This window comes from Homo sapiens, chromosome 7 (assembly GCF_000001405.40).
Source record: "Homo sapiens chromosome 7, GRCh38.p14 Primary Assembly".
NCBI lineage: Eukaryota > Metazoa > Chordata > Mammalia > Primates > Hominidae > Homo > Homo sapiens.
The window spans coordinates 27869948-27882097 of NC_000007.14; the positions used below are offsets into that span (position 1 = coordinate 27869948).

Sequence of the window (12150 nt, forward strand, 5' to 3'; positions counted from 1 at the left end):
GCCCAGGCTAGAGTGCAGTGGCACGATACTGGCTCACTGCAACCTCTGCATCCTGGGTTCAAGTGAATCTCCTGCCTCAGCCTCCTGAGTGGCTGGTATTACAGGCGCACACTGCCACACCCGGTTAATTTTTTTTTTTTTTTTTTTTTTTGTATTTTTAGTAGAGACTGGGTTTCACCATGTTGGTCAGGCTGGTCTCGAACTCCTGACCTCATGATCCACCCACCTCAGCCTCCCAAAGTGCTGGGATTACAGGCGTGAGCCACCATGCCTGGCCCCTAACTGCATTTAGAAAGCCCCCATAAGCTCATTTCCTGGGGTCTTGGAGGAGGTACTGGTCCTGCTGTGCCTCTCCCTCCAGCCCCAACTTGCTCACTGCCCCTGGCTCCGGCTCTGCTACCTGTGTTCTGGCCATGTCCCATCCCTTTCATGTATGAATTCCACATCTGCTTTAAGTTCCAAGTGGGCTGGGACCCTGTTTGATGAGTCTCTCCTACACAAGTCCCAAGTATGCCATCAGTACATACTTTCTGATAGATTTTAAAACACTCAAGCTTGACCTATATACAATGTTATCACTGTGTCATAGAATAATAATATTTCAAGGCTGGAAAGAACCTCAGATTTCCTGTGCCAACCTCCCCTCTTACAGAGGACAAGACCAAGGGCCTGGGGAGGGGGTGACCTGTCCCAGGTCACATACTCAGCAAAGGTCCAAGCAAGGGTGGAAGTCCGGCCCCCAGGTCACTGGCAACCCCTCCAAGGTCCTGCTAGTGGCTGCCCAGGTCAAATAAATGGGAAACCAGCATTTGCAAGCCAGGTGACAGAGCCCTCCTGAGTCACAGATGCTGCTCGGGAGGCTGCTTAAAACTCATTCTCAGGCATACACCAGCGCACGCATCCAGTACTCTGTGATTGTGTCCACCCAAACAAGCTGCTTATCTACTTTTCTGAACATGAGGTTCGAATAGGGAGTGCTTTTGAAAACTCCAGAGTAGTTAGCAATGCTTCCTGGATGATTTTGACTGGGTTCATGTACCCCCAGCCACAGTACGTATATGTAGATGCAGTTTCATGAATAGAGGAAGAATACCAGGTTTAAATGTGTCTCTTAAACCGTCATTGTAACGAGAAGTTACAAGTTGGGTCCTGAGGGAAATAAAAAGGAGAGATTTTCCAATTCTAAGTTCTCAAACCACTGAATAACTTCGCTGTTCCTCCTCAACTGGTTTGGAGTTTGATTTGAGACCAGCACTAAATACAAATGGCTCATTTTTCAAATCAATCTTGATCTAGAGACATACAGGTCAACCTTGGGAAAGCAAGGTCAGTGCTGTGTGCCAACGGGGTTGTGACATCTGTAAGGAGATGATCACAATCTTTAGCCAACCTCCCATTTGTCAGCTCAAGTCTATTAACTGTTTCTTCCCTTGCTTTGTTTTGCTCTATAAGGAGAATACCACTTTTCATCTCAGAACAAACCAACGATATGTCATCCACAGATGTCCTAATGGGATAATCCATGTGTCACAGACAATAAGGAAAGTACTTTCCAGTTAGCTAAATAAGGATTAATGAACAGATACTCAGCAAACCTTCGGGGGAGACACAGACAACCTCTGCAATGGGTAGTGTCATCAATGTCCAAGAAGCCTGCACAGTATGCATTTGTAAATGGCCATTTCAAACTGCTTCAGGGGCAAAATTTTCAAGTTTGTGCATCCAAGAGAAATGTTTTCTATGTCTATATTTTTCTAAAAAGTGAAGGTTTAGAAAAACATGCTTCGAATGTTAATTATATGATGATCCCAATCTTTTGGGGTGGGTTCTAGAATTAGAAGCGTGTGAAGGGTATATGGTTCAAGTGGGCAGAACTTTTTCTGCCTCAGCCGACTGTCACACGAGAACTGTCAAGGATGGAAGGTGGGGAGACACACATGTCAAGGATGGAAGGCTGGGAGAAAGTGGTGGTACTATCTGTGGCATGTGCTCCGTTCAGCGGGGCTCACTTCAGAAAATGCAGCTGAAACACTTCTGAGGTGCTAAAGCAAATTGTTATAATGTCACTGCCTATGGTGCTGTTGAGGCTTTATAGCCACAGAGCGCCCATAGTCTCTGGAAGTCATTCTGCATTCTCACATAAACTCGTCCCCGCCAGCAAGCTCCATTCTCCACAGAAAAAGGCCTTTCAATAATGAACAGCCGTCTGTTCCACAGAGCACAGGAAAAACATGATAAACCAAGTCACACAGCCTTGGCTGTAAACATATTCTTACACAAGATTTCTCCAACTCCATATAAAGAAAAAAACAAGCTATTAACCACTTGCAGAACAACAACAAAAAATGCATTGGGTTTCCTGCAATTAAGCTGCAATGTTTTACAGTGCAATTTTATTTATAACTGAAAAAGAGTAAATAAGTAAATATATAAAACGTCGAACAGACCCCTCCCGCCAAAGGCTTTTTCTGCAAATTAACTTAGCAGTAATAAAACCTGTGCCAGCTGGAATCCTTCCCCTGTGCTCTGTGGCAAGGGCAGCCCACGCGGGTATACGGCTGAGAAAAAACACAGTAGGGCATTTTCTACCTTCAGCCAGGGGATGTTAACTCAACTTTGGCAAGTGTTTAAAGATTTCTCTCTCCACATGTTCAAGAAAGAATTAAAAACAGTTGAACTGGGGAAAATGAACATCTGTTACTTACTTACACTCACAACCACAATGAAAAACATTCACAATTAAAGCGATTTTGCTTCCCTGCTAGTTGCAGCTGTAATCTTGGGTTAAAAATATAAATGCGGAGGCTCCTTATTGTCTTTGGGGCTTTCTTCTTCAGGCTGCTTGTAAAAAAGGTAGTTTACTTGGGTTCGATTTTTTTTTTCCCATTGGAATAACAATATCAGGAAACAGGTCTGCATAAAAAGATAGGGGATGGCAACAAAAAGTACCTACGCAACGGAGCCTTGTTTTATGAAGCTATGAACCAGTAGTCAATAAGTGTTTTATATTTGGGAGTTAAATACACTTTACAGCTGTGTAAAAAACCAGAGCCATTTTGGGCCAAACATAAACATTCCAGCGTCTACAAAGTTTACTTATATTAAGCGACGGGGTAGGTTTCTATCAACTGGGAGGGATTTGTGCGTTATGCATGACAGCACTGAAAAGCTTCCACATCAAGTCATTTCCCGTCCAACATGCAGAAATTTCATCAAGAAAATCAAATCTATTTCCGACAAGGTCTTCATACTTCCACCCAGGCTAATGAAATAACCTCCTAACTGATATGCCAGGATCTAGTCTCTTGGCCCTCCAATCCATCCTCTTTCTGGCTGCCACATTCAACCTTCCTCCAAATAGCTGCAATCCATATCGCTCTTCTTTGATTGCATTAGTTACTTTGCTTATTAAAAGTGGCTCCACTGCCAACTCTATTAAACACAAATTCCTTAGCGTGGCATTTAAGGTCCTTATATCTATGCATATGCTTCCCGAACCCAACACACCAGTTCACTGGTGTGGAATGGGTCCCCAACCATCCCCTGGCTGGCTGTCTAGGTTTTTCTGGCTTGAAATACACAACACTCAGCCCACCCTCTACCCTTTCCTGCACTCATTCTTGAAAACCTCTCAAATGCTACTTTCCCCCGGTCATTGTTAACTGAATTGTTGCCAGTAGATGTGCCTACTACCCCTTTTAACCATGATAGCGGTTCACTGAAGGCACTGAGGTTGAGTCTCCTAGGAGCTTTATTTACACCTTGTCTTCCTCTGTGACTTCACTGCCATCTCTCTGAGCGTGGCTCATCTTTGCATCCCCTCCAGCACTCAGTGCTGGGTCTTCGAGGAACAGCCATTAGAGCCAGTTGCCTGTCTCTCTTCTAGAGAGTTGGTGGAACATTTCCTGACTCCACTCTGATATGCTGCTGAGAAGGTAGACTGAGACACTCTGATGCAATTATTATATGGACTAAAAACATCAGACTTCCACCAGGATCATGTATAATTCAGTCAAACAGATTTGCCAGGCGTGGGTTCTAATTGGAATGGCAATCATAAGCAGTCTTTCTCCTTGGTCAGGCCAAGAAGGAATTAATTTGTAACTCATTAACATTTATTTGGAGGAATCTTAAACCATGGTGGGAATGAGTTCATCTCCAGCTGGGCGCAGGGCCTTGCTGCTGAAGGTCCAAGGTCACTGCCCAGGAAGGCTGGCTCAGCCTTGGAATGTGTCCATGGGCTCGTGCCAGCCCTGGCCCTGATCCCACACCACAGAACCCATGTGGCTGAAGGAGCTGAGGCTGGGAAAATCCCCAGGGAGGGGGCAGAAGACTGTTACGTCCTTAGCAGAACATGAGGCTTTTTCTGAGGTTCTGGAAAATAAGTCTGGACAGTTTTCTTTCAAAGTGGTATGGTTCAGCACACCTCTGCCCTCCTTTGCCACCCCCTCAGGAACAAAAACCAGAAGTGCAGAGGGAGCTGTCATGTTATTCCTGGCCCAACGAGAGCAGGAAGTGCCATAAATCTCTCAAGACAGCCTAGGCTCATGGGATTTCCAGAACCAATCTGTCGATTTATGAGAATCAGATCATTCAGACAGACATCCGAACCTTAGATCCTTATGAAAAAACATTAACATACAGGACATTCCTGTCACTTAGGAAAACATTATTCTTTCAAAGTTCCTCCCATAGAACACATCTAACATCTAGGAGAAAAGAGCAAAGAAGCATGGCCTGAATCAGGCCAACCACTGAACCTTTAATCGAGATCCTTATCTGGGGAAATCGCTAGCAGCCTGCTGGACAATGATCAATGAGGGCTGGCTTGGCGTGGCACTGCCTTGGGCCCTGGGTGGGAAGGCTGGTCAATAGCCTTTGGGATCATCAAGCCTGGCCCCAGAAAACAGAAAACAAAGCAGTGGCTTGCAAACACTACCTACAGATGATGTTGGACCGGCAGTGCTGGAGCGCCGGGAGCTGCAGAAAAGACCCGAGGTCCAGGCTCTATCCCTTGGAATTTGACTTGCTAGATTTGGGGTAGGTCCCAGAGAGCCGTATTTTGAAGGTCACTGGGAAAAGCTTGGGAACTATTGAAATACCATATATTGTGACAGAGGCGGTCAGTGATTTAAGACCATGTCTTGATTCTAAAAGATAGTCCTTGACTGTAGGCTGCCCCTGAAAACCTGCTTGTCTCCCATCCGTGCAAGAAATGGCCCAGCCTCCACTCGGCTGCCTGGGAGTCTTTCTCTCTCGCTTTCTCTTCCAGCCTCATCCAACTCCCATCGGCTCTACTCCAAAACATTCCGAGTTCATCCGCACTTCCCTGCTCTGTGATCCTCGTCCCAGCCTTACATCACTTTCCTCTTTCCTCGGCACAGCTGGAATAGAGTCCCTCTTTTAGCCATTTTTACAGCCCCAATCCCAGCAGTCATTGGTCAGTCAGAATAACCTTTTAAAAATGTGAAGCAAACCATGACATTCCCCTGTTTAAAACCCTCCCTTAACTTCCCCTCAACGTAGCAAAAAGTGCCAACTCCTGTCATCTGGGCATGTTTCCCCCACCCCACCCACCAGACCTAGCTAGCCTCACACTCCTGTTTTTTCTCTTCATCTAAGAGGTACTCATCCTTAAAGCTCAGACTGGGCATCATTGCTTCCAAGAGGTCTCCTGACTCTTCATCCAAGTCTGGGCTAGGCAGGTGCCTGCCCTGCATGGGCTCTGAGCTCGTCCCTATCAGAGAACTGTCCACCCCATGTGAATCTTACCATCTGTCTCCCCACTAGTCTCTGGGATACTGGGGTTATGTCTTTTATCTCTGTACATTCATTAGGTACACAGTAAGCACTCAGATGTTTGTTCAGTATATTAACCAGACCTATCCTAGTTATACCTGGAAAACTAGTAATTATCCTAGGAGCTAAAATGAATGTTATGGAAGGACACACAAAGGAATCACATTTCCTATATTTCCAGTCATTCCTAAGTCCTCAGAGGCAGCAGAGGAGAGCACTCAGGAGTCTGCTTTGCAGCAAGGCAGCCCTGGGTTAAGATCCAGGCACCAAAACTTCCTAGCAGTGTGGCCTGGGGCATGTTACCTAATGTCTCTTACCTTCTGGTCTACATTTGCATAGAAAATGGGTGTGTGAATGACCTGGTTAGCCAAGTGCCCAGTACATCCTGGGTGTCCCCGCATGGTAACTCACAGCGTTGTTCTTACTCCTTTAGGGGGCTAACCCTCTAATGCCTCTGGCCAAGGTGGGGTGGAAGGGACAGAGGGTCTCTCTTCAACCTGCTTCCAGAACTGTTTTATCTAATACAGCATAATTCCTGATTTGTTTTCCTCTTTAGGTAATCTTGATTTTTGGTATTTCTGAAAAGTCAACTCTACTGGACTCTAGAATAGCTTTGGTCATCTGTTTCCACCTTGACTCTTGGGAGAGCATCTGATAGGACCTCGAGGGGCATACCATCCCTTTCTGCCCTTCTCCCTCCAGAGTGCACGTTTCCATTTTCCAGTCCCATTAACACCACCGTTATCACAACTGCTAGGATTTTGCTAAGTACTTAAAGCAGAAAGAGGCCTGGATTAGAATTCTGAATCCTTTTAATCTCTCTCTAGGTAAGTTTTGCCAGCCTAGTTTCTTAAAATGTCAAGTATTAAACTGCTTTTATCTCACTAATTAATAATTAGCTTTGGCAAGCAAGAAAGTAAAAGGCATGGCTGGATCTTTCTCAAAAATAAGATCCCGGATAGCAGACTAGGTATAAAACGCAAGGTGATGGCAAGATCATTTGGATTCAAATAAAGCAGAAATCATGAGCTGAGTGTCCTTCCTCAGAGGATGGAACTGGGCGGGAGAGTTTCCATTACTCTCCCTGGAGAGAGGTCTGTGCACTGGTGGGTTTCCACAATGAGCGCTCTATACTTGAATGCCCTTAAAGACTAGAGGCAGTCTTTTCTATTGCTGCTTTGTAGCTTGGAAATCCCAGCTAGAGATGACTTTATGGGGTTGTATGGTCTAGACAAGAGGGTTACTCTTTGGTGAAATTGCTCCTTGGGGAGGTTACTGTGAAAAATTCCCATACAACTAATTAGCATTCAGAAGGGCAGGCTACCGAGAGGGCGCTAGACTTTGGCAGAGGCCGCTGCTGGAAAGCCAGCATCCCCAGCTTTATCACCGACCACGTTTATTTTCTTCCGTCAAAGCAAGGACAGGAAAGGGGAACGAGAGAGCTAGCGAAAAACACAACTCGAGGTAATGGTGGAGAACAAAAAATGAAGCCTGCCCATGGCTCCGAATGAGAGGTCAAGCCTTCTCTGAGAAATATGGAAATACCAAACTTTTTTTTGTTGTATATTTTCTACATAAAACATTTTCAGCTTTCTCAGCAGCTTCAGATCTTTGGAAGCGAACATGGAAAGGTATAACGGTCTGAACGGGGTATGGGGTAAAATGCTCCCCCAAATGTCAGCAAGTCATAGTTTTAAAACCCAGAGGAACTCACAACTATTTTCACCTCAGGTTTTACAGGGCCAATAGAGGTAGGTGGTTGTATGTGTTCCTTCAATATGGGGAAGAAATAACTTTCACCTACCCTAGGACTGAGCCAAGAGAAAACACCTGTCTAGAAAGCCTTGGGTTCTGGTCAGCTGACAAGTGGCCTCTGTGCAGGGATGTCAGCCTGTGCTCCCGAGTCTCATATCCAAATGCAAAACCCATTCTGGCAAGTCAGCATCTTCTCCAAGAAGCCCTTGGAGACCAGCCCTGCGCAGTGGCTTTCCTTGCCATACGTGCTCTCAGATGATCTCACACTTACACAGACGTGGTTTTTTCACGTCTACGTTATTTGTGGGGATGCAGTTTCTTCTTCCTGTTGAGTTCATCAGGGTGTGGCACCTTCTCCACCTGCATTTCACCCTGATGGCCCTATGATTGTCTTGCACACTAAGTGCTTCACACCTAAGATGGAATAACTTAAGTATGCAAAGGGGGACCATCTACAAAAGAAGCCATATTTTAAAAAAGCATTTTTCTTCCTCTCTGTGGTTATGCTCCAGACATGGACTCTGTATGCATTCTGTTGATGCCGAGTCTGCAAGTGTTCCAGGGTCTGCAGGCCCAGAGGGAATTATATAGCTATGGCTCGATGGGGTCTCAGGAGTGAACTACGAACATGATGCAGTGTGATTATGGAAACACACTTGCTGTTTTGTAGTGGCTGGAATGTGACTGAGAGGAATAAGCACTACAGTGGGAATCAAGAAGCTTGGACTGTGGTACTGTTTTATGCAATTTAGCTACATGTCCTTGACTCTACACTTATGAAGAGATGAGCCTAGATCACTTGTAGCCTTCCAAATTTTTTGACCATGATCCATTGAAAAATATATTTTACATTACAACTCAGAAAACATCTAACACACACACACACACCCCATTTCCCCAGGTAATACTTATCCTTATGGAGTGTGAAACACTCTATTTTCTGTTTTTTTCTTGTCTTTCTAAAATGCTGGTTATATCTTACCAATTAATTTCATGACCCATCAATGAGATGTGACTTCAGTTTGAAAAAAGTATCCAAGATGATCTCTGCATAAATTTCTGGTTCCCAAATTCCATATATGTAAAGATCTGATGCTATTTCATGCCATAGTGTTTTTCCTTCTTTGTTTTCTTTAATCGGGAGGAGTTCGGGGCAGTAACGCATTTTGTAAATTTAGGAGTGTTAAGGAATGACAACTTCCATAATGAAGCCATTGCCTCACCTGCCATTCTCCCAAGAATTCTCATCTAAGTGGTGGAATAGGGAATGGAGTCACTCTCTGGCCTCTTTGACTATCATTTTAAAAGAGAGCAGTAGGTGGAAACAGCCCCCTTCCGTTCATGTCACTAGAATCCCTGTTCTTACCAGGCAACAACTACTGAAATGGTTTGCAGCTTCCCCATTTTTAAGACATACATTATTATTTTTGTTGATCTGTTTTCCATTCTTTTGAATATTCTGAGGACATTTGTACCGAACACAAAAGATGAACAGGAAGATCAACAACATGTTACAGCAATGCTGCTACTCTGTCAATGCATAGATGGAGGCCAGAGATCTTAACACAGAACTCTCAGGAGTCTCTGAAACCTGTAATTCTTTTATTTCCAAAACATATGCAGTAAGACACGCATTTTAGTTGTTTTCTCATAACCATGATATTTTCACACTGACCTTGAGGGTAAGGCCAATCTTTGAGAATGTGATTTGTCCTATGTGTATGTTCCATTTCTTCATATCAAGCATCCTCTCTTTTCTGAGAGTCAAGGGACCACATTACCTGTTGTTTGACATTTAGCTAGCTTCAAGGGCATGGTTCATGGCGCCAGGATGAAGCTAAGTCAACTGGCCCACATGAGAATTAAACCCATGACCTCAGACTTATTAACACCATGCTCCTATCACCTGAGCTCCAGTTTGCAAGCATCATGAACAGAGAGGGAAATGACTTCTTATAAGACAACAATGAACAGGTATGCAGAACTGATACGCTTTAGTATCTTCTCTAAGATACTTAATGAGTTAGTATCATTTAGTATCTAACTTCATCATGGTGAATTTTAGGGAGACTTTCAACACAATAATGGTCTAAAACTTGGTGGAATATTAGAAAGTAACCATTTAAAAGGGTGGGGCCTGCTCAAGATATAGGGTCATGATCACGCCTCAAAAACACCATCCTACATTTAGTATCTTAGAAAAGATACTAAAAGTACATTTATTTAATATCTTAGAAAATATACTTGAATGAGAGGAACCAATGAAAAAATATTAATTTGGCATCTAAGTAACAATATGGTTTATTAGGTTAATAAATTCAGACCACTCAGAACACTACAGACAAGAACCTGCGAACACTCTGAAGGAGCCACAAATTGCCATCTTCTGGAAGATAACAAAAGAGGCAAAATGTACTGAGAACACATCCATTCACTTTTCAGTCCTGCCATCTTTCCAAAATATACTATTATATAATAGAAAACACACAGTAAATACAAATTCTAGGAGGCTGTTAGATGCTATTTTTAAGAGGCACAGCTACCACGAAGATGGAGCTACTTTCAAGTTTATATATAGCATAATTCATTTTCCAGTTTACCCTCCTTGCTTGACAGAATTAAAATGACAATGTTCATCAGTGTGCCACATTTATAGCTTTAGCTAAAGGTCTCCCACATGGCAAAGGACAAGCTTTCTAGTCCTGGCAAAACTTCCATTTTTGACGATGCCAAGAAACACATATTTGTTGGAAAGCAAAAAAGGGAAGGAAAAAAAATCCTTTTTGGAATATTTATTACTTATTCATTTTAGAAAACAGAGCCCTATAGATTACTTACAAATGTGTTAACTAGCTGGGCACAGTGGCTCATGCCTGTAATCCCAGCACTTTGGGAGGGTGAGGTGGGCGGATCACGAGGTCAGGAGTTTGAGACCAGTCTGGCCAACATGGTGAAACCGTGTCTCTACTAAAAACACAAAAATTAGCCAGGCGCGGTGGCGGGTGCCTGTAATCCCAGCTACTCGGGAGGCTGAGGCAGGAGAATTGCTTGAACCCGAGAGACAGAGGTTGCAGTGAGCCGAGATCATGCCACCGCACTCCAGCCTGGGTAACAGCAAGACTCCATCTCGGGGGATGGTGGGGAAAGGTTAACTAGATTTTACTAAACTTTGCTTTGTTTTGAGACAGGGTCTTGCTCTGTTGCCCAGGCTGAAGTGCAGTGGTGCAATCTAGGCTCACTGCAGCCTCAATCTCCCAGGCTCAGGTGATCCTCCTGCCTCAGCCTCCTGAGTAGCTAGGACCACAGGCACATGCCACTGCACCTGGCTAATTTAAAAACAGTTATTTGCAGAGACAGGGTCCCCCTGTGTTACCGTGGCTGGTCCTGAACTCCTGGGCTCAAGTGCCTCAGGCCTCACCTGCCTTGGCCTCCCAAATTGTTGGGATTATAGGCGTGAGCCACTGTGCCTGGCCTGAACTTTTAATTTACTATTTACTTGGCAAGTACTGCGTATTAGTTACCAAAGGTTTATTTATGTTTCTGTAATGCATATTTATTATACAGTTATTCCAGAAATGGTCTCATTTTTCTTTGATTTAAAGAAAAAGCCAATTTTTATATTTGCAGTTACTTCATAATTTTATGGTTTTAGTTTCCAAAAGGGGCCTATTCATCTCCCGGGGAGGGGGCATGGGGAACCCTTCCAGATTAAGGTGCATGGCCCACAGGTGGTGGCAGTAGCCCATCTAGCCCTTCAGAACCAACTCCAGTCAAGATCCCCTTGGTAGCTCACTCACAACTAAGTTGTGACATTTTAATTGCATGCTTTTAAATATTAACCATTTGTCAAGTTTTGTTAGTCTTAATTTTCCTTTACACGCAACATAGCATAAATTATATATACTGGTATTACAGAAACCAAGTGGCTTTAATTAAACACTTTTTTCAAAGAATGCTTCCTTTTAATGGCAGTGAAATACCATTCATAGCATCTAAGTGCTCTGCCAAAACTAACTTCATCATGGTGAATTTCAGGGAGACTTTCAACACAATAATGGTCCAGAACTTGGTGGAATATTAGAAAGTAACCATTTAAAAGGGTGGGGGCCTGCTCAAGATATGGGAGTCACGATCATGTCTCAAAAACACCATCCTACATTGATGGCCCAGCATCAGTCCCCGTAACTGTTAGCACACTGTTAGTTCAGCCTGGATAACCCCAGACAGTTCTGTCTAGAGGAGGAGAGCTGAGGATGCACCAACAGAAATGCATATCGAGGGCCTTTCCACCCCTGAATTTAAGACTCTAGGCAGCCATTTTCAAGTCAAACATTCTGATGAGACTTTTAACTATACAGTGACACAGCTTATCTTAGAGAGCTCACATGAAAACAGATCACATGAAAAGCACCACTTCATTTGCCAGAAAGAAGTCTGCTTGACTTTTATTTTTTATTTAAAAATTTTGGTAATTTTGAAATAGGAATCTATGTGAAAAATAAAAAATGCATCCAGTCTCAGGCTGTAAGGAAACATCTTAGTTGGTAGACAATGTCAGGGACCGACTAATTCATTCAAAATTATTCAGGCTCCCTG

The 12150-nt window shown here is 43.7% G+C and overlaps 1 protein-coding gene across 5 annotated transcripts in view; it reads right to left on the bottom strand.

Moving 5' to 3' along the window:
* Nucleotides 1–12150, bottom strand: part of JAZF1 (JAZF zinc finger 1) — a 350219-nt gene that overhangs the window by 39371 nt on the left and 298698 nt on the right. The gene's annotated exons all lie outside the window — the stretch shown is intronic.